This window comes from Homo sapiens, chromosome 10 (genome assembly GCF_000001405.40).
Source record: "Homo sapiens chromosome 10, GRCh38.p14 Primary Assembly".
NCBI classification, from domain to species: domain Eukaryota; kingdom Metazoa; phylum Chordata; class Mammalia; order Primates; family Hominidae; genus Homo; species Homo sapiens.
In genome coordinates, this window is record NC_000010.11 from 124,065,502 (window position 1) to 124,092,093 (window position 26,592).

The window sequence follows — 26,592 nt, forward strand, 5'->3', positions numbered from 1 at the left end:
TCACCCAACCCTGCTGTGGGACTGCTGGGGGTTGGCCCCAGGCTTCACTGGCCCTGGGGTTCCCGACACCCACAGAGAGCTACTCCCTGCCCCTCCCCCGCCAGTCCTGCTGGGAGCAGACACAAGGGTGATTCTGCGGGCCCCATTACGGCAGCTCATTCCCACCAACCTCAAGAGCCCCTTCCTGCCTCTTCCAAATTAGCTTTCACCCTTAACAAAACATGCCAAAATGATATGTCTCAGTAAATTATATGATTCTTACCTGTGGCCAGAAGTCTTGTTTTTTCCGTTTTGTTTTGTTTTGACCCATTCTCAGTTTCGTATAACCCTTTCAGGCAAATTTCTGCACCCAGAAGATATAATTTTTCAGCACATGCCGCAAAATCCCAGGTACTGAGCTCAGGACAAAAAAGAAGGGGGAAAAAAATCCCTCCTCCCTTTTGGATCATTTGCATTCCTTTCCCGTAAAGGAAACTTGGAAACGTTTCAAAAGCATCGAGTATTCGGAATCAACTAAAAACCCGAATTCTTCTGTCTTTTTGTCTTTTTTTTCTTATTTGGTCCCCTCAGTCACTTTTTCCCCTCTTCTACCCTTCAGAAAAGGCAAAATACCAGTTACCTATCTAATAAAATGAGTGCCTCCATTTAATCAATTTGAGAGATTCACTGGGTTTTATGGGAGGACTAGATTTGGGGGTTTAAAACATTATTCCTCAAGTTACAGAGTGTTGGGCTAGGAGAGCTTTGAGCGTCGACCAGCTAGGGGAAGGGGGAGGAGGCTGAAATGGAAAGAAAGAGACGGATGTTTCTCAAACTTCTTTAGCTAACACACTGCGAGTCTGGGACTCGAACCCAGGGCTGTCTCTCTCCACCACCGCCAAGACGTGTTCTGTCACTGCTTCTGCATCTATTTCTGGGACTGACCCACACCTCCTCTTATGTAACTGGCTGGGGGAAAGAAAAAAAAAAACGAGTTTACACGGTCACAAAGCAATTTGCAATTATCTTCTTTCTAAATATTCATAAGCTGGGATTATTTTCCCCTTTGGATGACAACACAGTCGATGACATCGCTGGAAAGTCTTTGGTTGACTTAGTTTTTCTGAGGTTTTCACACCCAAAACCTTGAGCAAAAATGAAGGATGATGAACAAATCCCAAAGGTGCTTTTCCTTAGAAATGGCCAAAAGCGTTCACCTTACAATTTAAGCAAGAGGTGGAGACCTTTCATCTTAGGATGGGGGCACCCCACCTGGGCTGCCATGCACCTCCCTCCTGGGGAGGTGGGCTCCAGCCCAGCCACAGCTCATTTCCTGGGCTGCGTCTCCCTGTTCCCCTGAGCAACCAAGCCCAACCCAGCCACAGCTTTCTGAGATGAAGCCAGCACTTTTGGTGACAGCACATGCCTTGGGCTTAGCCTCCTCCTTTTGTCCCATTCTTCCTATCCCCACTAGGACCTGAGCCACCCGCAAGGCGCTCTGCAGCTGGGGCAGAGGGGCCATTTGCACATTCCAGAGTAACTGGCTGCACTTAGCACTGTGCCGGGCATGCAGCCCCATCTGAGTGACAAGACAGTCGCACCCCAGACTCCACATCCTGCACTTAGTGCTGGGAACACCAGGACTTCTGCAAGTGGCAGACTTCCAAACTCCCTTAAAAATCTCTTTGGGGATCACAAAGAAGAGATTAGGAACATTTTTCAGAGCATGAAGCCCAGATATTTATCGTCCATGGATATTTTCTGGCCAGTGATCACATTCACATCATTCGTGGAAATCTCTGGCATCTACTGCACTTATTCAGACCAATTTGCTCAGTAATCAGTGCAGGTGCACTTCTGTCCTGCTTCCTAAGATATGCAATCCAGTTGGGCATGGAAGCCGCTAGAACAGAAGCTCAGATCCAAACTGAGGCACTTGAGAGATCACACTGTCGGAACCTCTCATCTCCCAGATAAGGACCAGGAGCAGGCCATCTGCCCCAAACCAAGGCTGACTTTCAAGCCTGATAAACAGGGAAGTTGGAGACTTCTTCTGCATGTTGGGCAATTAAGCTTATAAGTGGAAGTCTGCGCCCTCAACTACTTTCAGAAACAGATTTAGAAACAGATGGTTTTTGTGTTTTTGGTTTTTTTGAGACGGAGTGTTGCTCTGTCACCCAGCCTGGAGTGTAGTGGCATGATCTCAGCTCACTGCAACCTCCGCCTCCTGGGTTCAAGCGATTCTCCTGCCTCAGCCTCCCAAATAGCTGGGATTACAGGCGACCACCACCATGCCCCGCTAATTTTTGTATTTTTAGTAGAGACGGGGTTTCACCATGTTGGCCAGGCTGGTCTCGAACACCTGATCTCGTGATCCGCTGGCCTCGGCCTCCCAGAGTGCTGGGATTACAGGCGGGAGCCACTGCGCCTGGCCTAGAAACAGAAGTGAGTATCATTTCCCCCAAGGAGAGTTGGGTTTTCAAGTTTCATTAAAGGTTGTGTCTGCGGGTGCAAAGTGAAAATGATACATTGAGGCAATTATCCAGATACGTAATGTCAAACTACCAGAAACTTTGCCTTAATTAGTGAAATAACTGAAGCAAAAAATGAGTATATGCCTAATTCCCGGAATAGCTGGCTCGAGCTCTCACCTGCTCGGGGGGTCAGAGGCAGAGCCAAGGGGATGGTGAAGTCAGTCCCCACGCTGCAGTGGTTTACATGCTGACCACTCGGGAGCAGAGTGGCAGTTACCAGGACATGGGTTATCTAGACAGCTGGAGTTCTCATCCTGGCTCCACGGCCTGACACTTAGCCCACCTCAGTTCCTTATCTGAAAAATGGGGATGATGTGACAATATGTAGTCTAATGGAGCCACAGGGAAGACTGAGATAATCCATGGGAAGCACCAAGCAAGGACAGGGCACCTGGGAAGTTCAGGAATCGTTGGCAGTGCTCCTCATCATGGTAACCATCACTGTCACTGTTATTCCTGTTTCCACCTGCTCTTTGGCTTTTTAGCTGATGGGCCGGGTACATGTCCAGTCTGGTCTGTGTCACACACTTCCACATTTTATTCCAGCGTCTCCTAGAGGGCTGGCTTGCTGAAATGCATCCGAAATGAATTACTTTGCTGTCTGTTGCAATAACTAGTCCTTCATATTCAAATCCAGAAAAAGATCAAAACACATATATTTTAATGTCTTCTAAGTCCGTTGTGAAAAGCATCACTATGCTCTTATTAAAAATTCTGCTTTCATCACCTGCCTTAATATCCCTGTTCTTGAATTAAAAAAAGAAGTCAGAAAGACAGAGGAAAATAGTGATTTTTAAAGTAAGACCTTATCTTGTGAATAACTGTAAAATGTTCTATTTTAATAAGAAACACAAATTTTCAAACAATAAAAAGGGGATCATTTTTACTTTAGAATGTTCCACCTTATGGTATTTTGGGCCCTAAGTATACAAAGAAAGCATACAAGGAGATAATCGAAGCTAGAAAGTATCAGAACATGCTTTAGCATGTCTCTGTCTGGGCTAAGCTGGGGTCAGATGTGAATCAGACAGGACTAGGCAGGATGAGAATGGCCTCTCAGGTGAAAAGGACAGTCCCTTGTCTCTGCACAGACATCCATCGGCTTAGCATCCCTCCCCAGAGGCCTCTCCCAAGGAGGCAGGTCTGTGCTGCTAGGCAAAGTTGCAAACTCCCACAGATCAACATCCCGTTTGAGTTCCTACATCCTGTAGTCCTCCTGAATATAGAGAGGATGGGTTCAACTGACTTCTGCAGGCTCAGCTCTAGTACAAATCAGTGCCATACAGATAATAAATATAGCCAGGAAATTCAAGAGTCTTGCAAAGTTCAAGTTAGTCCCTGTTGTTTGGGGGACCCCCCCCCCAACTATTGGTGATATGGCACAGATGGAAATGGGGCAGAGGCACCATGAACAGAGTAACATTGCAAGAATCATCGGGGCCAGGCTCGGGGAATTTGGGACGGGGAGTCCAGGGTCTCTGGCAAGTCTCTGAGTCATCAAGATGAGTGAGCCTCAAAGGCAACACAGGGGAGAACCATGAACAAGCAGTGACACGTGCAGGGCCCGTGGCCTGGGGAAGGCTGAACAGGGATGGACAGTTTACGGTTTCACAGTTTTAAAAATTTGAGTCACTGACTTTAAACAGGTGAGGCAGAGCAGGGGACCCAGAAAACAGGAACAGTGCTCCTCCATGAGCCCCTGCCATAGGACACCTGGGCAGAGGCCAGCCTGAGCCTGGACCTTCCCAGTCAGCCAGCTCATCCCTCGAGGAAGGACGCAGATTTTTCTCTCATTGCCTGCCTTTAACAGTTCTGCGCTCCAGGCCTGACCAAACCAGATTTATCCATTAGGTTCCATGACATGTGGAATATACTGAGGGCAAAGAAGTCACCCCAAGATGGGAGTTCCCCTGAATCTAAGGTGTCACTGTGCCTCCCTTTAGCTGTAGGACTTTGGACAAGTGGTCCCGCCCATTTCCTGGGGACATGCAGAAAATGGTGATGTCCCCCCCAGCACGTTGTCAGGAACAAATGATATAGCCTGGCTGTGTGAGTGCTTTGTAGAGAGCACACAAAGGACAGGATTTTTCTTTGCAATGGAAAGTAGTTGCTGTGTTGTCCAAGAAACAGTTTCTGGAAAAAAAAGAAAAATCTGCACTTACAGATCTAGAGTAAAAACACAATGTAGGTCTGAGGTTCCTAGCCAATCCCAAGCCAGAGGCCCCTCTGGGAATCTCTCCCAAGGGAAATGCATATGCCCACCTACGGGGATGTCACTTCAGGAAGGTCAACATGAAGGCCATATTTGACCATCAGATTTAAGGGGCATCCTCCAAATGAACCCATTCAGTAAAGTTTTTTTGTTTTGTTTTGTTTTTGTTTTGACACTGAGTCTCGCTCTGTCACCAGGCTGGAGTGCAGTGGCTCGATCTCGGCTCACTGCAACCTCTGCCTCCCAGGTTCAAGAGATTCTTCTGCCTCAGCCTCCTGAGTGGCTGGGACTAAAGGTGCACACCACCATGCTCAGCTGATTTTTTTTTTAAATAGAAACGGGGTTTCACCACGTTGGCCAGGATGGTCTTGATCTCTTGACCTCGTGATCTGTCTGGCCGGGGCCTCCTAAAGTGCTGGGATTCAGGAGTGAGCCATTGTGCCCGGCCCTCAATAAAGATTATTAAAGCCCTACTCTATGTCAGGCTCAAGTGTAGAGCCCTGGGATGCAGCAGTAAACAAAACAAGTCCCTGTTCAGCTGCATCTCGCAGGCTGGTGGGGAGGCTTCCAGAATCCAATGAAGAAGAGGGCAGATGACCTCAGACGGGCTGAGCACCATGGATGAGAACCCGCCGACCCACTACCAGGCTCACCTGCGAGTCCCTGCCTGCCACAGACTCCGTAGGCTGCCCTTCACGGCACTGTCTATGGGGTCTCTTCCAGAAACAGCGGGGCAAAGGCAGGAGGCAGAAATAAAACCTAATTTGCTTTCTGGGCCACATTCCTGTAGCTTAGTATTTGGCGGTGCTCTCTACCCCACTGGGGTAAAGAATTCAATTTGATTTGATTTGATCTGATTCTAACTTAAAGGCAGAGTTCTCACCCTGACCAGCAGCAGGCCATGTCCCACTTGTGTGAGATGCAGTGCAGCCCAGGGTGAGACGTGCTCAGCTCTCTCTTCCTAGCCCAGAGCGTTAGAGAAGATTCTCGTTTTCTAAAGGCACTACCTGGAGGGAACGGGCAGTTTCCCTCTTTGGGCAAAGTACCCAAGGAGATGGACAGGCCAGCCAGAGCCCAACAGACCCATCACAGGTGGCCTTGTGGCCATCTATAGGGCCAGGTGTGCCATCAGCCTGAAACCCTGCTCCCACGTGAGCCAAACAAGGGGCCACAGCTGGGGCTTCTCTCCTCTCCTCCAACTCCCTAGCACTCTGAGTCAAATTCCAGCAAGAAAGTGCCTCAGAGCAGCACTGCCCAACAAAAACAGAGTGTGAGCCCATACCTAGGTTAAATGTTCCAGGTGAGGTTAATTTTCATGTAGTTCAACTCGAATAGACGCAAAATAACCACTTCAACATGTAGTCAGTATAAAAGTTATTAATTAAAAATTTGCATTTTTTTCATACTAAGTCTTCAAATTCCAGTGTGTATTTTACACTTAGGTCCATCTCAATTTGGATGCTACATTTTCATCTGAAGTACCTGAGCTGTATCTAGATTTCATAAGACTTAGAGTCGGAAAAGGAGTTATGGACCCAAGCTGTTCCAAACATTCTTAAAAGTTTTCTAATAACTGAATTAAGTATCTGCTTTTAAATTTAAATTAGTTAAAAGTAAATGAGATGTAAAATTTCCATTCTTCGGCCGTCCTAGTCACATTTCAAGCATGACCCTGTGGAGCAGCAGACACAGAGCTTGTCCAGCTCCTCAGAGAGCTTCCTGCACGAGGCTGCTCAGGCCAGGCGCTCCTGGAGCGTGAGATCTGTTTCTTATTTCCTCCATTCCTCTCCTTACCCAGCCTCTCATCAAAAGGGTCTGGGAAGTCACTGCTTCCCCAAATTGAGTAAAACTCACCTAAGGCATTTGTTACCAACAGCTTCCAAGCCCTGCCCCCGATTTACTGAATCTACTTGGGGTAGGGAAGACAGCCGGGCAATAACCCGGGCACAGGTTTTCCTTCCTTCCAAGTCTCCTTTAGCCAGCCACTGCCACTGTTGTGAGTTACAAATTTGACAGAGCCAGGGCAGGACACACACCCCAGCTGGGGCTCTGCTGCTCAGGGACAGTGCAGAGTCCTCTCTTCTTCCACTTCCTGTGTGGTTGGGGAGACCAGCACACCTGCATTCGGAGTTCTCCTGAGCATGCAGGAGGCTCAGTAAATGTCAGCTGCCTCTTCCCACTGCTCTGGACCCCTCATCACACCAAACAACAGCTTTTGGCACAGGGAAAGCTCTTTCTCCACCTAGAACACTGGGTTGGAAGTCCAGGGGGTGGGTGCAGAACCATTTGGTTCTGAGACTGGACTGATCTACAAATAAAAACCTTTCTTGACTGAGCCATTAAATGGTGGCAGCTCTCAAGCCCTCCCAAGAGAAAACCCAGGCCAGCTACCAGGCCAGCCACCAGGCCAGCCACTTTCATCTCAAAGATGAGCCTGGAGGCTTTGCTTCATTGCATGCAGACACCCAAAGCATGGAGACTAAAATGCTGAATTCTGGGCTCTTCTCAGAGACCAACCAACCCCATCCGCAAGTTCAGAAACAGACTGGCTTCCAGTGAAACGTGACCACGTGGGCAGAACCCCAGGAGGGACAGGTGCATCTTTCTGGGGCATCCCAGAAGCCTTATCTCTTCCAGTGCACCCATTCAATGCAAAAAGGGCCAGCTGTTATCCCCCAGGGTCTCTTCTTTTTGGGAACTTGGGCAGAGGACAAAAGGGAGTCAGTCTCACCTTACATTTTTTCCAGGCTCTTATTTCATCTTTCCAGAGACTCATACGCTGCTGATGGGAACGGTAAATGAGTACAATTGTTTGGAACACTGGCATTATCTACTGAAGCTTGGGCGTACTCACTCCCAAAGACCACAATTCCAATCCTAGCTACGTGCCCAACAGAAAGGCATCCATATGCTGATCAAAAGACATCAACTAGAATGTTCATTGTACTATTTGTAGGGCCAAAAACTGGAAATCACACAGTGTCTACCCACAGTAGAACGGACAAATACAATTCAGCTGCGAAAATGGACAAGCTTCACCAGGGAAGAATCTCACAGATGTAGTACTGAGCAAAAGAACCCAGATATAAAGGAGAACCACACAGGATTCCAGTTAGAGACAGCACAAAACAGGCCAAAAACCCAGGCCGCGGAAGTCAGGATAGCAATTTCCCTTGCATGGGTGCTGAGAGGTGGTTAATGACCAGAACAGAGCCCAGGGGTCCTGGGGTGCTGTCTGTATACCTGATCTAGGTACTGGTTGCATAGGTGAGTTCTGTTTGTGAAAATCCATCAAGCAGCACACTTAGGATAGATGCTCTTTAATGCATGAAGGTTATACTCCAATTCCTTAAAAGTTCACCAAAAAAAGAAAGCTAGATACATGGTGGTAAGTTTCTGCCCCATCAGAAACCAAGGAAGAGGCAAAGGGCACAGCAACCATTCGACAGGCGCATGAATGAGCCAATGCAGGCTGGTCCTTGCGCCTTGACCATGAAGGCGAATGTTCTCCCATCAGACGACGCCCATTTCCTTTCAGAGGCGCCAAACCAAAGCTCCTCTGTTTGTGCATTTTAAAATGGTTAACAGAGCTCGTAACCACTTAGGGCTTATTTTACGACCCGCCTCTCAGTCAGACGGCTAATGACCTCCAGTTGCCAGGTCTGATGGGTTTCCAGGGTCTTAAATGGCTCCTCCTGGGTGGACTCGGCCAGGAGGCTGTAGATCTTCCCCAGCCACATCCCGGGCCTGCTCACCTTGGCAGCAACCTACGGGCTAGGCACACACAGGGCAGGGGAGAGGTCTCAAATGGGGGCTTTAAAAGAGATATTTTCCACATAGTCTTTTTAGCCTCTTTCCATAGAAGACTTTCTCAGGACAGAAGTGGGTGTGATTAGCGCAAGCTCAAGTCACGCCTGCTGCACCCCCAGGGAAGGTAGCTTGCTCTCCCTCCCAAGATCTTTCCACTTCATTTCTGCAGGGCCAGTGCCCCCCGGCTGGGAAAGACACCGAACCCTTGCACTGATGCCATTAGACAGTTTCTACTTGGCAAGTTGCTTCAAGAATTTCTCAAATCTCTCAGTAGAGACAGAAAATCAGCAAGTCCCTGGAACCCTGGAGGCAGTGAGCAGGAGACACTAAACAGTGTGCCACCCAACTGCAAAGGGCACAATTCAGGTGGCAGGTAGGGGCGGGGGCCTAGTTGGGAGCATCGCCCAGTTGTGATCATCAATCCAGTCTCTAGAAACAAGGATTCTAGCACATTCTAAGCCTTAAAATGAGAACTCTGGGTCCAGGCACCTCACTGGGGACTTACATAACATCCCCCTGCACACCCAACACCTTCGCCACGTCTGCAGTCTCTGCCTCCTCTCCCTCCGCGCAGCTTCCTCCATTATGACCTGGAGCTCTCCAATGCACCCCGCGCCTCTGCCAGACTGGGCTCACGGCATCAGCAAACTTGCTCATAGACCACTTCCCGTTCCTGTCCCCAGCTCATCACAACTGAAATTAAATGATCCTTTGCCTAAGTGTTTCCACCTCATTCACCTCCTAGACTCTAACCTCCATGAGGACAGGACCTGGGCATGTCTCACTCGCCACTGCCTCCCAGCAGCCAGGGCTGACTTTCCTTTTGAATGCGGCTGTGCTAGGCAGTGGGGTGCAGTGTGTGGACAAGACAGACAGGCTCCCAGCCCCCGCGGAGTTAATGATGTTTTGCAGGGAGGACTGTTTCAGCACATTCCTCTTTTCATGTTTCTGTTTCTCTTTTGTGTATCAAGATTTTTCCCCTAATACTTCTAAGCCAGACTTATTATTCAAGTTCTCTCAGACTCCTACATCAGGTAATACAAATACTGTGAAGTTTTTTCCTATTATTTTGCTTTTGAAAGTGAAAACAATGACTGTGGATAGCTTAATGGGGAAAATAAATAAAGCCAGCTTTTGCTTGAACATGGAGGTGCTGTTTGTTATTTGCTGAATAAGTTAAGAACAGGCTGTGCATCCCCACGGTGGGGAGGGTACAATCCCAGACACCCAGGAACAGCACAGACCTCCCTCCACACATCTGAGGCTCCATGGGAGTAGCTTTGGCCTCCAGCACTGCAGGCTTCCTGCCCTGCTGTCTCTCCCCAGCCAGGAGGTATAAAGGATGGTTTCTTTCTTTCTTCAAGTGTCACAGCCTATTCAGGCCCATCGACTTGTGACAATGAGAGGAGAGCACAGCGTCCCGGCTCCCTTTGAGCTCACATCTCCAGTGACCTCTGTACAAACCGAGGACAAAGGGAGGAAAATCTAGCGGTGGTGCACAGTCTCTCCCCCAAGACGCTGCTCGGAAGAGATCTGACTTGGGCAGCTCTCTCCTGATGTATGCTGAGCACAGCATCCACCCCCTACACTCCCTTCCAATAAAAAAGTAACTTTAATGCTCATTCAAGAAGCCCTCTTCCAATTTAAAACCTGAAAAGTCCGGGCTTTCCTTGGTTAGAACCTCCCCTGTCTTTGGCAGCTGGCCCTGGATGCTCCTCTCTCCCTCTCCACTGGCAAAGGGGAAAGGGCAACTCTGAGTCTGGGCCAGCCTGCAGGGAAGGAACAAAGAGTCAGCACAAAGGAGTCCCGGGCCCTTCCAAGCCTCTTGCTCCAGGGAGAGATGCTTCCTGGGCGGGATTTTATTTCCTTACCAAGATGCACTATGCCCCCCTCAACTTTGCAAGGTGGCATTCTCCGGGATCCAGAATGACAAGGATGACCTACAGTGGCCCCTAAAATCCTAGACTGTCTCCAGGAGCATTTTACTCCACTGGGAGGAGCAGAGCTCACAGGGAGGACATCAGGGATGAAAAGCCAGGGGAGATGGGCTGCCCCTCTCTTGGGACTGAGCCACAGAGTCACGACAGACACACACATTAACCACACAGAGGTACTGGAGAGCCACTGTGTGTCAATCTTTTCCATTTTACAGTGAAAAATCACCAGGACTTGAGGCTTATACACACACATAATGTAGATGGGTTTTGTATTCAGGTTTTCTCTTCTCAAAGCTGAGCTGTCAAGTCAGTGAGTTTCATTAGAGAATGTTGGTCCTTGTCCCTGTCTGTTCTGAAGAGCCTAGCGGTAGACTGTCCCAGATTCCCGATGCGTGGAGACTGAGAAAGTCACATGAAATTTCCCCAGCAGACCAGGCTGATGGCTCCATGAGTTAGTTGATTCAGCTCAACGGGCATTTCCTAAGCGTGTGCTTAGGTCAGGCCTCCAGCCAGACCCCTCCCAGCACACCAAGGTGATTCAGCTGCAGCCCGTGCCCCCGGGGAGTTCACAATTCACACAAGTTGCTATAAATCACATTGGTCTAGGATCAGCATCCTACAAGATCCCAGAGCCAACTCCAAGGGCGTGGACCCATGGTCAATCACACAGGGCCCTTTGCTCAGAAACACCCTATACAGAATGTATTGTTCTGCTTTCCCTATTTTTAAATTCTTAATTTTTTTTTTTTTTTTTGAGACGGAGTCTCGCTCTGTCGCCCAGGCTGGAGTGCAGTGGTGCGATCTCGGCTCACTGCAAGCTCCGCCTTCCGGGTTCACACCATTCTCCTGCCTCAGCCTCCCGAGGAGCTGGGACTACAGGCGCCTGCCACCACGCCCGGCTACTTTTTTGTATTTTTAGTAGAGACAGGGTTTCACCGTGTTAGCCAGGATGGTCTCAATCTCCTGACCTCGTGATCCACCTGCCTCAGCCTCCCAAAGTGTTGGGATTACAGGCGTGAGCCACCGCGCCCGGCCAATTCTTAATAATTTTTAATATGCATTTCATGTTGCACTGCGTCTTGCAAATTATATAGATGGATCTGGAGATACTTAAAATGTTTTCTTATCAGGATTAAAGGAGAGTGAGAACACACCCAGAGTGCTGTTCTCATTCCTGGTATATGTTAGAGCCAAAGAACAGATACTTAGAGAACGGCATTCCACCTCAGGTTTAAAGCTCATCTTGGGTTTGAGCAGAGACCTTTCCTGGGGCATGTCAGAATGACAATCAGAATCTTACATTCTATACCAGGAATGAGGATAGCAAAGGCTGTTTCCATGAGCCTGTTTATCATAAGTCTGATCTCGAACAGCATCTTCTCTAATGCAGCTCTGCCTGAGGATTTAAAAATATGGGGCCCTTTAACTCATCACGCTAATGTGATTACACATTCATCCCCAGAGTCCAGACCATCCCTGAGGCACTCAAGCGGAGGCCTTGTCTGTCAAATTTACGAGCCGAGGCTTACACTCTTTCAGCCCCTTTAAATGGGAAAATCTTTACCTTAGTTGAGTGATGTGCTCTGTCCACCACCTAAAGAGAAAATTAGGCCCTCCAACCAGTGCCCTGCTCTGTTAGTTTCTGCAACTCATCCCCAAGCCTGTGCAGTTTAAACACCATTTACAAACAAGCTTAATTTTAACCTTCCTTTGTGGAGAATGCAAAATCAATTAAGTATATGCTGATAATGCCCTCGCATCTCGTTCCGGTGGCATCTCACAATTAATGCTGCCCATGAGGCCGAGCCTGAGCAGCTCGCACAGTCCTCTGGTTATTACGAGCCTCACTCGGCTCCAGAGTTGAGCACAGAGGGAGGCAGGCACAGCTCACTACATGGGGATTCTGCCTCTTTATAAAATCAGCTTGTAGATGGTTTAATTAAAATACACCAGAGCATAATTCAATTGGAATTGAGGCTCCCATCAAACCAAACTAGGCTGCAGAAATTCTACCAACCTTAAAAGCACCTACAAGGGGCAAGGTACAAATTTCATTTGGATGTTGCTTGGGTGTTTCTAGCTCTACGGGTAGAATTGTTTTCACCAATAAAACCACCTGCACTCAGAAATGGAAGGGACACGGCAGATCTCACACAAGCCTCTTGCATTGCAGGTAAAGAAACAGAGACTCAGAGAAGTCAGGACAGCCCCAGGGCACACAGCAGTCACTGTGCAGGCCTGAGCCAAGGAGGGAGCCCGGCAAGGTTAAGAACAAGCAGTCTCTGACTTCACACTGCCTATATTCCACGCCCAACTCTACCATCCAGCTGCAGGAATGTGGGCAGGGTGAACTCCTCTGAACTCAGTTCTTACATCTGTAAAATGGGGATGTTAACTGTATCTACCTCAAAGGTTGCTGAGTGTATGAAATGAAATAAAGTAGATAAAACCTAAAGCATACTAAATACTCAATGCAGCCTGGTTTCCATTATCAGAACTCCAGCTCCCCTGGTCTGTCCTATAAACCAAACTACTGTCTAAGGTTCTTTATGTCTCAGAATCTCTCAGATCTGAGGTAGAAGGTCACCTCTGTGCACCCATCAGAGACGATGCACCCATAGAGCGCCATGTGGACCCGTGGAACCTGTGAAATTCATCCTCCAGTATTTGTTGAACTTACGGAAACGAATTTTAACTGATTGTCAATTGGAAGGGATTGAAACATCCTCTAAAAGACAAACAACAATGCTAAAGCTTATGAAATTCTAAAATGCTTCTAAAATGCTGTAGATCCCTAGGTTTAATAAGAAAAATAAGGTCTGCAGCTCAGTTAATGCTATTGTACCAGTGTCAGTTTCCTGGCTTTGATCATGTCTGAGGGTTGCATAAGATGTTCTCCCTGTGGGAAGCTGAGTGAAGGGTACACAGGGAGTCTACTATTTTTGCATCTTCTTGTGAGTCTGAAATTATTTCAAAATAAAAAATTAAAATAAAAGTATGAGGCAGCATATAGGAGTGCCAAGAGATTATGGGGACTCTGAGCAAGCATTCAGCATGTCAATACAGCCACAGCTGCCTGGTGTAGGACTCATGTGACTTGGGAAGAGATGCTGAATGAACAACTGGAATGATTCTAAACCAAACTACTCAGAAAAAAAAATTTCTTTTATCTTTCCATTTATTAAAATGTAGAAAAATTTATGTTTTGTCCACCATTTAAAAATTAGTCAACAACATAAAATGGAGATGTATATTACTGTCACAACTACTGACCAATATTTATTGGGAAAACTTTGCAATGTGACAAAGGATCACTCTTAAGGATGTCTGGGGAGACCAGAAAGAGATTTAAAGTTTATGAAAATAACTGATGACACAATCCGTTGAGGCCCTACTGTGTGTCAGGTTGACCAGCTGGTGTCTTGGGTGTGGTTTCCACAAGAAAGCCTGGCATTAACACGTCATTAACAAGGACGGACTCCATGTGGTATGGAGCAGTCCAGGAGTAGACAAGGTTCAGGGTGTCCTGATGCAGGACCTGGGAGGCCAGAGTGCTGCCCCATGGAGACCACGGTTACCCAGGTTAACAGCAGGACCTGGGATGGAGAGGCAGCCTGGGGCCCACTCCCTCGCAGGTAGGGAGGTGGCTGCAACAAGAGGACAACCAACAGGAGGGCCCTCAAGAAACAGAGGTTCTTACTGACGAGGAGACAGAAACAGCTGGAGGCAGCACCAGGAGGGAGGAAGAACTTCCCCTTGAGGGGGCTCAAATCCTGAGCAAGGGCCAGGTCTCTGTCACAGCCAGGGCCGGAAAGCAATGCTTAAAGAAGAGGCCAAATCAGCAAACAGTTTTCCATGCCTCATCCCCCTCCAAAGGGTTCCCGCTCCAGGACCTAGGCTGCATGGAACTGTCACCAAATTCAAGTTAACGGCCTGTGTTCACCTTTGGGAATTCACAGTCCTATTTCGGTCTTGTTTTTATGAGTGTGGTTTCAGCTGCCCACCCCAAGACGTACCCCCTCAAGCATGTGCTTACATAAAAATAACTCTGCCTCCCCAGCCAAGCCCTTAGTGAGAGGACAGGGATGTTGGGGTTTTGCTTTGTTTTTTGCTAGCCCTGTTTTCTGAAACTCTGCAGCAGCTGCAGGCCAGCGAGCATCGGACAGGTGTTCTTCACCCAGAGACGGGACGGGGAGAAGGCAGAGCTGCAAATGTCAGTGCAGAGGATGCAGAAGAGAAGAAAATCAACCCAGGCGTCCAATAAACCAAGTCTCTTTCTCCCGAGCATAAATGAATCCCATCCCATCAACAGGTTCTCCCCTTGGGGTCCTGGCACTGACTGTTCCCTCCTTCCAAGCATCAGACAGCAGCACCCTCTGAACATTCAAGAATCAACGGAGATGTCACCTTTGTGGAAAGGCCTTTCCCGCACACCAGCTGGTCACTCCAGCACATGGCCCTTATGCCTGTCTATTCTCTGATATTTGCGACCTTGTCTGCTGCCTGTCTCTCTCCATGAGGATATGCCCTCTGTGAGCACTGGGACCCTGTGTGTCTAACTCACTGCTAGATCCCCAGCTCCTAGAACAGCATGGGGTACACAGCAGGGCCTCAATAAAGAGTTCTTTTCACTGGAGGGTGACTCTCAAGAGGATGTGCAGAGCCTGAGTCAGAAGAGTTGAAGACATTGAAGGGCCAGGCTCCCCAATGTTCTTCTTGATCAAAGCTGAAGGATTAGGGCAAGTCACTGACTTCTGCAGGCCTCCGTTTCCCCAGCTATAAACAGACGATCTGAAAGACACTCACCATCCCTGCACTATGGGTCAAAGTTTTCAATTATTCACTATACTCTTGCCTGTTTTCCTTTCACCCATCTGTCTGTCCATCGGCCCAATCATTCTTTCCCATGGACTAGGCCCTGGGGATGCCACGTTGAATAAGACACATTTCCTGTTCTGAAGGAACAGATAACCTTCCAGTGGCAGAGACACAAAGGAAGCAATTCTGCACTGACCAGCTATCTGTCAAAGGAGACTCCTGGGCCTCCAGCCTGGGCCACTGTGGGGATGAGAATGGGGTCCTTCCCCAAGAGAAAAACAGATCTAAAATTCCACCACTGCTACCAAGTGATGAACAATGTGTGTTAGTTACAATCAGGGAATCTGAACATGAAACTCAAAGACAGTCACAAAGTCTCATCACAGATTGAGGACAAATGAGGCTCATTCCTGAGACCACTGTGCTAATTATCTGTCCCTTATCTTTGCCATAGGAGAACTGGAAATTCTCATTAGAAGAATGATTACAATCACTGCTAAGTTCCCTCAGCGTTTCTTAGCTAAAGAGCTTAACGAATCCAGGTCCATGCATGCACACACATGCACGCATGCACACACATGCACGCATGCACACACACACGCGTGCACACACACACAAATGCCCAGCATCCATCCCCGGAGACTTGATGTAACAGCTGATGTAGGACCAAAGTATGTGCATTTCTTTCAATAAGCTCCGTGGGGGTTGCAAAGCGGCACCCCTGATTTATAGCCACAGAGTTTCTGCCAAGTTTACTTCTTATTACAGTTGTAAAGGTGCTTTAGAATATCAGTGATAACAATGAGATAGATATCCATAAGGATTTTAACAGAACTTTCCTAAGCACAGAGAACACTCCAGCCACAAAACACTTTTATCTACCTCATCAGAGCTAAATGGTGCCTGGAAACATAAACGCTGGAAGGACCAGCCTGAGGACACAGCCGCCCTGTGGGACCACACCCCCAGGCCATGCAAGAAACCTGGCCCAGGGAGATCTCCCGGCCTGGTCTCCACATATTTCTTTCAATGCTTTCACCCAGCGTACCCTTGAAAAAACAACTTCCTAATGTATCCTGGAGTCACAATTACAGCCCCTTGCTTATTACGGGCTTGGCCAAATCAGATAAAATTTCATTCTCTGAATTGGTTCCTAATTTAATTATTCCCCGGATAAGCAGCCGGGCCGCCCATCACCGCAGGGGAGAAAGAACTAGAAAGATGCTGGCGCCACAAGGTGCTGTTCTTATTCGGCCGCTGGTGGATGGGGAGATGTTCTGGGCCTCGGACATCAGATGGACATTGGATGGACAGACAGATGGGTGAAAGGAAAACAGGCAAGAGTACATTGGATGACTGAAAACCTTGACCCATAATCACATAAAAGAGGGCAAGCTAACCACCATCTGTTCACCCAACCCACCTTAATCTGCTGCCCCAGGCCAGTCAAGAAGGCAACCTGGGGTTTTAGTAAGAGTTTAGGGAGAACTTTTGGAGTAATTGGATTGTAACTCCAAAAACCGGTATTCAATCCTGTCTCTTTATGTGTGGCCTCTCTGGCCCTCAGCTTCCCCATCTATAAAAAGGGGCTGAACCACGTTCGCCCGAAGGCCTTTCCAGCTCTAAAATTCAGACAATTCAGTATCTCAGCCAGGATCACTGACAGGGGGATCGGGATCCCATCTAAGAACAAAGCCTTTTCTAGGGCCAGGGAAAGAGTGTTGTTTAAAAAATGAATCTTATTATTAGAAGAAAGTGAAAACGTCTCATAAAACATAACCCTAGAAACGGAAACACATGTCCACACCCAAAGAAGCTTGTACACAAACGTTTATGGCCGCCTCATTCATAAGAGCCAAAGGTGGAGACCACCCAAATGTCTATCAATGGACAAATGGATCCATGAAACTGTGGTCTATCCCTGCGATGGAATATTATTCAGCCATGAAAAGGAAGGAAGTGCTGACGCATGCCACAGCATGGATGAACCATGACAGTTACACAGAGTAAAAGAAGCCAGTCACAAAAGACCTCATTCTATGTGATTCTGCTCATACGAAAGTCCACAATAGAGGAATTGGGCTGGACAGAGACAAGAAGTAGATTTGTGGTTGCTCAAGGCTGAAGGGTACATGTAGGGGAATGGGGAGATAAAGGGGTGATAGCTAAGGTGTACAAGATGTCTTTTTGAGATTAAAAAAAGTTCTAAAATTAGCTGTGGTAGTGGTTGCACGTATCTGTCAATATACTAAAAAACATGGAATTGTATACTTTGGGTGAATTTTATGGTGTGTGCATTACATTTCAGTAAAGCTGTTAAAGAAGAATAGATTGAACAGGTTTTTCAAAAGTCTGCTTTATGATTTTTTTTAATAAATCAGTTGAGAACTTTGAAAGATACACATGCATGTCCTTCGGCACTTCTGCGGCTTCCTAAGTGATCCAGCGGGTGACTTCCAGTGAGCACGTCTTCTCACCCTTTCATCAACCAAAAAAACTGCTGACTCAAAAGGGGGCAGGCCTGCATTTTTCTATCGACTTATTTCCATTTTAAGGGCCGAAAGCAAATTTATTTTCCACCACTCAAATGGCAACTGAAGCTTCATCTTCTTTTCAATACATCATTTTTCTTCTCTGAGCCAAATTTTATACAATGCAAAAGATCCCTGGATTTTCTATTGTCGATAGGTGAGCAAATGATTTTTTCTTTTCCTTTTTTTTGCCTGGAAGATGTTTCTGAGGAGGAGCTCACAGTCACCCAGCTCCCACTCTTCTCTTCTGTACATCTCCTCATATCTAATTTCTCATAGAAACTGCTAGCAAGTGGGTATAAATAGCTTTTCAAAGTTAGGACGACACAAAATGTCAGGCTGATACTGTTCTCGTTAGTCGGAGCATGCTTTCTTCCCCCTCATTTATTCCCACTAATAACTTTCTTAGGCAAGTTCAGCGTGTCCTAAAAGCAGCTATTTCCTCTGACTTTCACTATAATGCACTTGGATCACTGACCTGATGCGGCATGGGGACTCGGCCTTTCTGGAACATATTTTCTTTATTAAAAACTGTGACGGATGATGAGAGAGGATCACGCCACCATGGGTCAGGCTGGAGATGACCACAGGCGAGGAAGTGGTAAGCCTCCGCAGTTCAACACGCCCAGAGCTCAGAGGAAGATGGTCCTTCCCAAGGCTCACGGTTTCTAAGCCCACACAATGTTTCAGAGAGGGTGCCTAGGCAGAGAGATGTCAGACACTCTGAGGCTCAGGAGGCTGCACCTTTGCAAGGCAGAGCTAGGGAAGGAAAGACGGAAGGGTCTCTGCTGCCCCAAGGAGTCCAGTCCTGAGGCATCAGTGTTCAGTGGGACGGAGGAGGAGCTGACCCTCCCAAGGGCAGGGGCCACGCGCTGGCTGGGAAGCAAGGACAAAGGAAGCCCTTGGTACCTGCCTCTCGGGGAGTCACAGCTGAGGGCCCAGGACCCTCCTGGCTGTCTTCTCATCTGCCCTTCATCCTGTGATGAGACAAGAGGGAGGTTGCCAGTTGGGGGCCCACCTGCATTCGGTCCTCCCCTGCAGGCCAGCTGACCTCCATGGCCCAACCTTCTCCGTTAGAGCCTTTGGGCCAGAAGGTGACCATTGAAGGCTGCCCAGAGAGCCTTAGGAACAAGCTCCCCCATACCAGGGGCAAATGGCCTGCCCAGCTCCTGCTGCCCATCAAGCCCCCCACTACCGAGAACAGGCCGAGGCCAGACCAGAGATGACATCCCACCCACAGTAAGGGATTAACCAATCATCCAGGTTGTCCTTCATAGAAAAATTAAAGCTAAACAGCCCCCAGGAATCCAGTGGAGGAAGACACCACACAGAGGCCTTCACAGTTCACCTCTGAACCGGACATGAGAACCTCCTGCTCCCTCCACCAGACCACAGAAAGGGCACTAAAACTCCCGAACATCTTCCTAGAGCAACTGCAACTCCAAAGTCAAGCGTCTGGTTACGTGACACAGAGGTCAGCCAGCTGCAGCCAAATCCCCACCTGGATGTCCAGGAAACCAACAACAGAGAAGCCAGGCCCCTGATGATACCCACAAGATCTCGGCCAAAACTCCTCCACCCCACCGCCCTGAGCCGCTGCAGCTACCAGGCAGAACCATCAGAAGTGTGTGGAGAGAAACACAAGCCCTCGGCCCACACTCCCCGGGGCAACCCTGCTTTCTTGTAATCCTGGCGGTTCCTTCCATGCACAAAGCAAACAGGGTTTGGTGTGTACATTTGGAAGACTCTTTACATACACAGGTTCACAAAGCAGAGAAAATTAATCCTCAGTAGACCCATAGTCTGATTTGGGGTTTGGAAATTATAGTCCCTAAAAATACATGCCAGGACATACTTTATATTTTTAATGCAAATATTTACATTCCAAACAAAGGAGCATGGAACTTGAAGCCAAGCTATTTATACCAGCTATAAGAAACACCAGCAGCCTCCACATTTCTCGCCTGAGTAGACGGCTCCGCTTATATTCCTGAAACAACAACCAAATTTCCATAACATTTTCCCCTAAGGCTCTCAAGACACAAAAAACTGTGGTCACTATGTTTTAATAGCCCCAAAACCTAATGCCAGGAAATCCAAGGTTATTCCATTAGACTCTCGACTCCTTGGGAAATTGAGTGACAAGTGTGAGCTCTCCTGTGCCACACTATCAAACTCAGTGTTCACATAAAACCTCCAGGAGAACCTAGCCTTTGGAAGAATCATTTTTAATTGACGCGTTAATGCAGCACATGGCAGTCACTGGCCACTAAGTGAGAGTCCAGCTACATGGATGTACCGTGAGCCCCAGACACCCTCCTCCTGAAGAGAGCCTCATCAGGCTGGGAGAGCAGACTGCACCCAGGAAACTGGAGCCCAGCACAGTGTGGGACAGGGTCAAGGTTGAGAAATACAACAGAGGAAAACTGCAGAAGCTCAGAGGAGGAAGGATCCACACCTGGCTGGGGAAGGGAGGTACGGGGAGCAGATAGCAAGAATGACTGGCAAACGCTTCCTGAAGGCAGTGGGGGTGGGGGGCTCGATGATGAAGTAGGCAAATGTGGGGGCTCCCCCTCTCCAGTGGCCGGGGGACCCAAGTGTAGCCAGGTCCAGGCCCGGCTGGCCAGGCGTCTCGTTGCAAACACAGAACCAGGTCTGGTAAAAGCACAGGCCCTGTGGGGGGCTGGGACCAAGAGAGAGGAGGCAGAGAAGCTTCTCCAGGCCCAGGCTAGGAGTCAACCACTACCTCAGCTCCCTGTGAATTGCGTTCAACTTAGAATGTGACCTTGAGATCCATGGATCACCATTACCTCAATCATGCTCTGCCAACAAGTAGGAAAGAGATGTTCTTGAATTTAAAGCCAGATTATTTCCTACAGCAGACAACAACACCGATTTGACACACTGTGGCCACTTCTACCAAGTACGTACCTAACAGATGCCATTGACCACCCTCCAACCGTGGGCCGGGCACGGAGCCCAGCACATCATATTCCTTGCCACAGGGCGACTGTTCTCCGCCACCCCAGATGTTTCCTTCCATGAGGAGGAAGCTCCCCTGTGTAACTTTCCTGTTGTCTATACGTGGTGGTTTCTACACCATCCCAGGAATATGGAAGGAGGGCGTGGACATGACAGCCCAGCCCTGCCTTTCCCCATGGTAAGGAGGCCCTTCGCCCTGCTGGGAGAGGCTCCTCCAGCTCCGCAGGCAATGGGGTGGGCGGGTCTGCCTGACTGCCCCTGTTCCCCACTTCCTTGCCCACTGGTTCAGCCACATTCTCCAACAACAGCTGCAGTCGGGAACAGCCATCGCATGTGGATTTCCACCTGCCTTCCTCCTCCTCCTCCTCCTCCTCCTCCTCCTCTATCTCTCCATAGGTTTAGACCTCACCCAGAAAAAAGTGATTCCATGTGGGGAGCTCCCCTGAACCCTGAATTGTACTATTTCAAATACTCAAGCCACCCAACCAGGTAGAGATCATTAACCCCATTTTACAGATGGGGAAACCGAGATGCAAGCTAAGCCACTTGTTCAGAGCCACAGTAATGGGACGAAGCAGCACTGCATGAACTTGAACCTGAGTCAGCGTGGATCCCAGGCTCAACCCACTACCTGCCCTGCCCCACCCAGTGCCTATGCGATCTAACACCTGGGCTAAAAGAGCTTCCGTGTCACGGGCGCCAAATATTTGGCTGACAAGAAACGTGAAGGTACAGGTGAACTTACCGCCATCAGCATGAGTGAGCTGCCAGGGGTTACAAAAGGGAACACAGCTGCCCAGACCACTTTCGTGGAAGGGTAAGATAATACATCTTACACCTCTCTCGACCTCTTAGACTCTGAAATGCAGGCTCTGGCCTCCTAGCAAAGGTGCCACGGGCCCAGTCCCTCGGGACAGCTACCTACAGGGACACAGAAAAGCAAAAGCAGGACAGAACCTCCCTGAGATAGATCCAGGGCCACCCTGGGAGGGATGGGATCGCCACTTCTCCTTGTATGCCCTCCCCCTTGCTGGCCACACCACTATCTTTTTGACCACAGGGAGCAAAAGGGTCCGGCAGGGGCGTATTCTGTTTCAAGAGAAAATGCTAAGCCACCGAGTTCCAGCCTATTGTCAGAAAAACATAATTGTGCCTGGCCTGTATCTAATTATTTGCCCATGTTGGGGTATTTTCCAGGCACCTGGGTGCCTGGACTGTCTGTTTCAATATTTTTACCACAAATGCAATTCTGGAAAGTGTCCAAGTTTCCATTATAATGATACCCTCTGCTTTTGAGGATCTGCCAGCCTTACTTTCTTCAGAGATCTAAGAGGCCTGGGCCACGATAAGTTCTAGAAATGTAAAATAGGCATCAGGGAGAGCCTGCCGAAGCCAGGAGCCCCCACCCCCCCGCCCTCCAGGCCCCCTCTGGGCTCTTTTAAGCTGAGAGTGGGGTGAGATGTAACATTCACAAGCGAGCTACACCAGCACAGTTCCACCTAGAGCCACGCGGTCTCCTCTCTCTGGTTAATTGCATCAAATATGGGCACAGCGGAGCTGCTCCACAGCCTGGCTGCAAGGTCAGCTGAAGGGTCTTGAAGGGTAGCTGTTTACCAGTGTTCTCCTCGCACAGATGAGGAGACAGAGTCCAGAGAGTGAAGCCACCACCCTAAGGAAACCTAGCTGGAGCCAAGGCTTGCAGGGGCTCCTGCCTATATCCTTTGAGGTAGAATATACTGGAATCAAATATGGAGACATGCACGGTTAGGAGCTCCGGGGCTGAAGAATATCACCCGAGCCAGTGTTTACTGAGCACTTACTGGATGCCAGGCACTGTGCCAAGCACTGGCAGGTATTAACTCTGAAAAGACACCCGCCCTCAAGCCAGGGGGCGAAGTCTTCCCGGAACACTCCAATCTCAAAGTCGCTACCCCGGGCTCCTGCTGCACTTTGCCAAGCCCCATAAGGTGCCTGTCAACGGCGTTACATAACTCTGACTTGCACGAGCTCCGCCTCGCCCACTGATCTGAGTGCTGTGCTCTGTGCTGAGCGCTGGCTCTCTGCCCCCATGCACCTGGCCCAGGGTTGCAGGGCAGAAACGCTGCAGGTCCTGCTGCAGACAGCCTCCTTTCCTCTCCATCCCTTTGGAAATCAGCGAAGATGAGAAACTGCTTCCCACTTGCCACCTCCCCACAACTTAACCACTTGCTGATTCACGCCGCCTCCTCCTTCTGGAGCCACAGTTGTTCTTCTCCCCTCACCCCCTTATTTCCCTCCTGCCTCTACCGTCATTCCCAATCCCTCCTCCTGCACATCCGGATGGCTGAGAGCTTGGTGTGTGTCATCTCCAACAGCTTCCCAGCCCTTTAAAGGACACAAAGGGATATACCTGTGTGACCTGTCTAGCAGAGGGCCAGCTTCAAACCTATAGGGACGCAGCACGTGATAGGTCTTGCGATGAACTGTCTTCCTCCCCAACTCCCATAGTTACAATTTAAAAAATCTATGTTGGCCCAAATGGACACAAAACCTTTCTCCTTCTTCCTGGACACTCCTAACTAGACACCTAGACTGGACACACTAATTAGATAACTGTTCCATTTATGGTCCATCTCCTGCTGTGGAGACACAGGTCTACACATAAATCATTTTGTCCCAGTGCTTTATTTGAAAGGAGAAACTATCTCAGTAAAGAAATCAGACCCTCATACTGCAGGCCAATGAAGAAATGCCTTGAGCAGTGGAAACACTCAGCCTCCCAACACTTAGCCAGCTAAGTGCAAACATGATCTCCTCATTCACAGCACTGGAACAGAGTGACCCTTTGAAGTAACTTAATCTCATACCTGAGCATCCCCTTTACAGACCAGAAGGGGAGGGAGGCTGCGTGATTCTCACCAGTGACTGAGTCACTTCCAAATCACAAGCTGCTAAAGAGAAGTCCGCTGGCTGATTGCTCAGATCAATGACACTCCCAAGTCAGCTACCACTTTTAAAAACAGTCTCTGCTTTTAGAATTTAGACGACTCTTCTTTCATACAAATATGCTCCAAATGGCATCTCTGCAATCCTGGGCCTGCTGAGGCCCTAGGAACGGGGACAGGGCCTGAACGTGTAGATGGGAAAAATGACAGCTGCCAATTACAGGGAGTGTCCACACCTCTGGGAGTTTCTAAGAGGCCTCAGCCCAGTACAGTGGAGATGAAGGAGCTGGCCAAGAGCTGGAGATCAGAGACCCCCTGACTTTCCACTTACTGGCTATGTGACCTTGGGCAAGTCACTCCCAACTTAATATCATACCTGAGCATCCCCTGTTCAGGGGGTGGGTGCCTCCCACCCACTGCTCTGAAATTCAATGTCCACACCTGAAAAGGAGACTCCTCACACTCCCCCGAGTCCACCCTCCACTCCCTGACCCCTGCTCCCAAGCCTTGCTTTGCATCACCACCCTTCTGGGCTCTTATGGCAGCTTCTGGACCATTTGTCTGTCTACACAGCCAATTCCGCTTGTCCCCATCCCATGAGGGCTGGGACCCTGTCTGTCCTAGCCCCGCCAAATCATCCCAGAGGCTCAGCTGTAGGATCTATTTGGTGAAAGGAATTATATGAAAAGGTTCATGCAGATGACTTTCTACATCATGGCAATTCATTCAACAGCTGCTGAATGAACACATGGCACACGAGTACATGAAGGAGCTCTGCCCGCCTCACCTCCAGCCTAGGGACCTGGCCGCAGGCATGATGGGCAGCCATCAGTTCTTAGTCCCTGGGCCCACAATGGGTGTGGCTCCTGTGCCCTGCTCTCTGATGCAGTGACACCCTTCCCAATAGATAAGCACCGGGCCAGATGGCAAGCTTCAGACCTCCTGGAAGGGCACTCACCCCTAACCCTCTACCATACTTCTAGAATTTGAGCCCACATTTAAATACCCAGGCTGGAGAATCCTCTCGAAAATTCACAAGACCTGTTGACACTGTTTTCCCCCCAACTGGCTGGAGCTGAGTCTAGTCTGTCCCCTGTAGATGGGCATGTGCTCACCTGTTCAGGACAGCCCTGGGGTCTCCCTCTTCTCCCCAGCCCCCTCCACTAGCAGGGGACCTTCCAGCCGAACTCGAAATGGCTTGGACTACCACAGTCCAGCACTAATCTACAGCTTCCCCTACTGCAGACTCCTGGGGCCCAGCTAGTTAACTTGGAATTTCTTGTCTGCTGTTTCTCAAGACGCCAAATAAGTAGAATCCGCTTCCCACGTTACCAACCTTTCCCCAAACACTTCTTCTTGATGCAGGAATTAATCTTCTCTCTTCCAGGCATGTGAAAAATCAAATGTTTCTGATATCTCACTTTTCCTGGCCAGGGGCAGCAGCAACCAGGGATGACAAAGGTGTGGAAGGAAACTGCAGCCCTCACAGCAGCCACGGTGACCGTGCTGGGTCCCTGGCCAGGACAGTGGCTCAGACATGGCGAGCTTTGATCATCCAAGAAAAGCAAGGCACACATGTGACCACTGTGGGCCGACCTGCCTGCCACCCCCCTGGACAATATCCTGGATGAATTACCCCTGCATGCTTCACCTACAAGCCAGCTCACTGCAATCATCCAAAGCCCAGAGGAGAGAGCCGCAAAGACAGGGTTGGACTTCTGCAGAGGGCTCCTGAGCTGGCTCTCCTCCGGAGCTGGACTTTGGAGGGAAGCCCAGACCTGCAGCTCCACCTCCAGCTCACCTATGTGCCCACAGGAAGGCCATAACAAGCCACTTTACCTCACCAGCTCTGTGTGCCCATCTAGGAGGTGGCAAGAAAGAAAATCTTCTGACAGTTTCTCAGGAACTTGGGGGAGAAAAACTTGTTTGCAAAAACCTACCTACTTAGAAGGCATTTTTATTCCTATACTACTTTGAATAAAATCATATATGATCTATGTATGTCTTTATGTATCAATCAAGAGATCCTAGTTCAACATTCAGTTTGTAAAATTAGTAAGTGCCATGTTCTGGAAGGGAGGGTTCCTGATTTTGCAAGGTTGCCGGTCCTGGGAGGAGAAGCAGGAAAGCGGGGGATGGATAATGGTCCAGGAAGGTCCAAGGAGGGTCCAGGAGAAACGCTGGGCAAATCTCTAGGCCTCAGTTTACTTCAGGGCCCCTCGGGGGTGCAGATGCCCTCCGAGGCCTTTCTGCCCCAACGCTGGGTGGCTACCCTAACCCACCGAGGCATCCCACAACACTCAGGAATTGCAGCTGATAAAGAGGGGCTGGGGGCACTGCTAGGGCGCCCAGAGGCAAGGTTAGCCCCTTTGCTCAGCCTCACTGACCGGCTTGTCACATCCCTCTGCGGGGCATCCCGGAGCCACACTTCATTCCCGAGAACTCGGTACAATTAACTTAACCAACGTGAACAAGGCGAAGGCGCCCAGCTGTCACAGCGGCTCCGCGCACGCAGGCAGACGAAGAAGGGCCCCCGCCCCCAGGAGCTGGTCCCAGCCTCCAGCCTGGCAGCCTCCTTCGAAGACTTCCCTACACTGGGCGCGGACCTCCAGCCGCCAGCAGCCGGCAACCCAGCCCCAGCCTTCCTCCTCTATACCCGCCGTCCCAGCCGCGCCGGCCGGCCCCGGGCGCAGGGCGGGCGGGAACGTGGGCACCCGGACAGCGACGGGGAGGTCAAGCAGCTGTGCCCAGGACCCGGGCGGCTCCGAAGCCTCAACACGCACACACTCGCGCGCACGCCGGCCCATCGGTTGCCTGGAGGAGTCGGGAAGGTGCTTCCACGGCTCTTCATTCATTTTCCCAAAG

The 26,592-nt window shown here is 49.4% G+C and overlaps 1 protein-coding gene across 21 annotated transcripts in view, besides 2 other annotated features; it reads right to left on the reverse strand.

Moving 5' to 3' along the window:
* Positions 1-26,592, reverse strand: part of CHST15 (carbohydrate sulfotransferase 15) — an 85,931-nt gene that overhangs the window by 57,834 nt on the left and 1,505 nt on the right. Inside the window, exon 2 of one of the 21 annotated variants that reach the window (XM_047425327.1) lies at positions 263-18,798. The exons of 18 other annotated variants lie outside the window; for them this stretch is intronic. The gene's annotated coding sequence lies outside the window, so the exon portion shown is untranslated. Of the gene's footprint in view, positions 1-262; positions 26,391-26,592 lie in introns of those variants that run through there. 2 more of the 21 variants (XM_047425325.1, XM_047425331.1) reach the window with 2 other exon arrangements.
* Positions 7,974-8,475: an enhancer, noted in NCBI's record as "H3K4me1 hESC enhancer chr10:125832991-125833492 (GRCh37/hg19 assembly coordinates)". NCBI's record gives its function as "activates a minimal SCP1, AML or CMV promoter by ChIP-STARR-seq in naive H9 embryonic stem cells {active_cell/tissue: H9 hESC(naive)}" and the evidence as "EXISTENCE:reporter gene assay evidence [ECO:0000049][PMID:30033119]".
* Positions 8,476-8,975: an enhancer, noted in NCBI's record as "H3K4me1 hESC enhancer chr10:125833493-125833992 (GRCh37/hg19 assembly coordinates)". NCBI's record gives its function as "activates a minimal SCP1, AML or CMV promoter by ChIP-STARR-seq in naive H9 embryonic stem cells {active_cell/tissue: H9 hESC(naive)}" and the evidence as "EXISTENCE:reporter gene assay evidence [ECO:0000049][PMID:30033119]".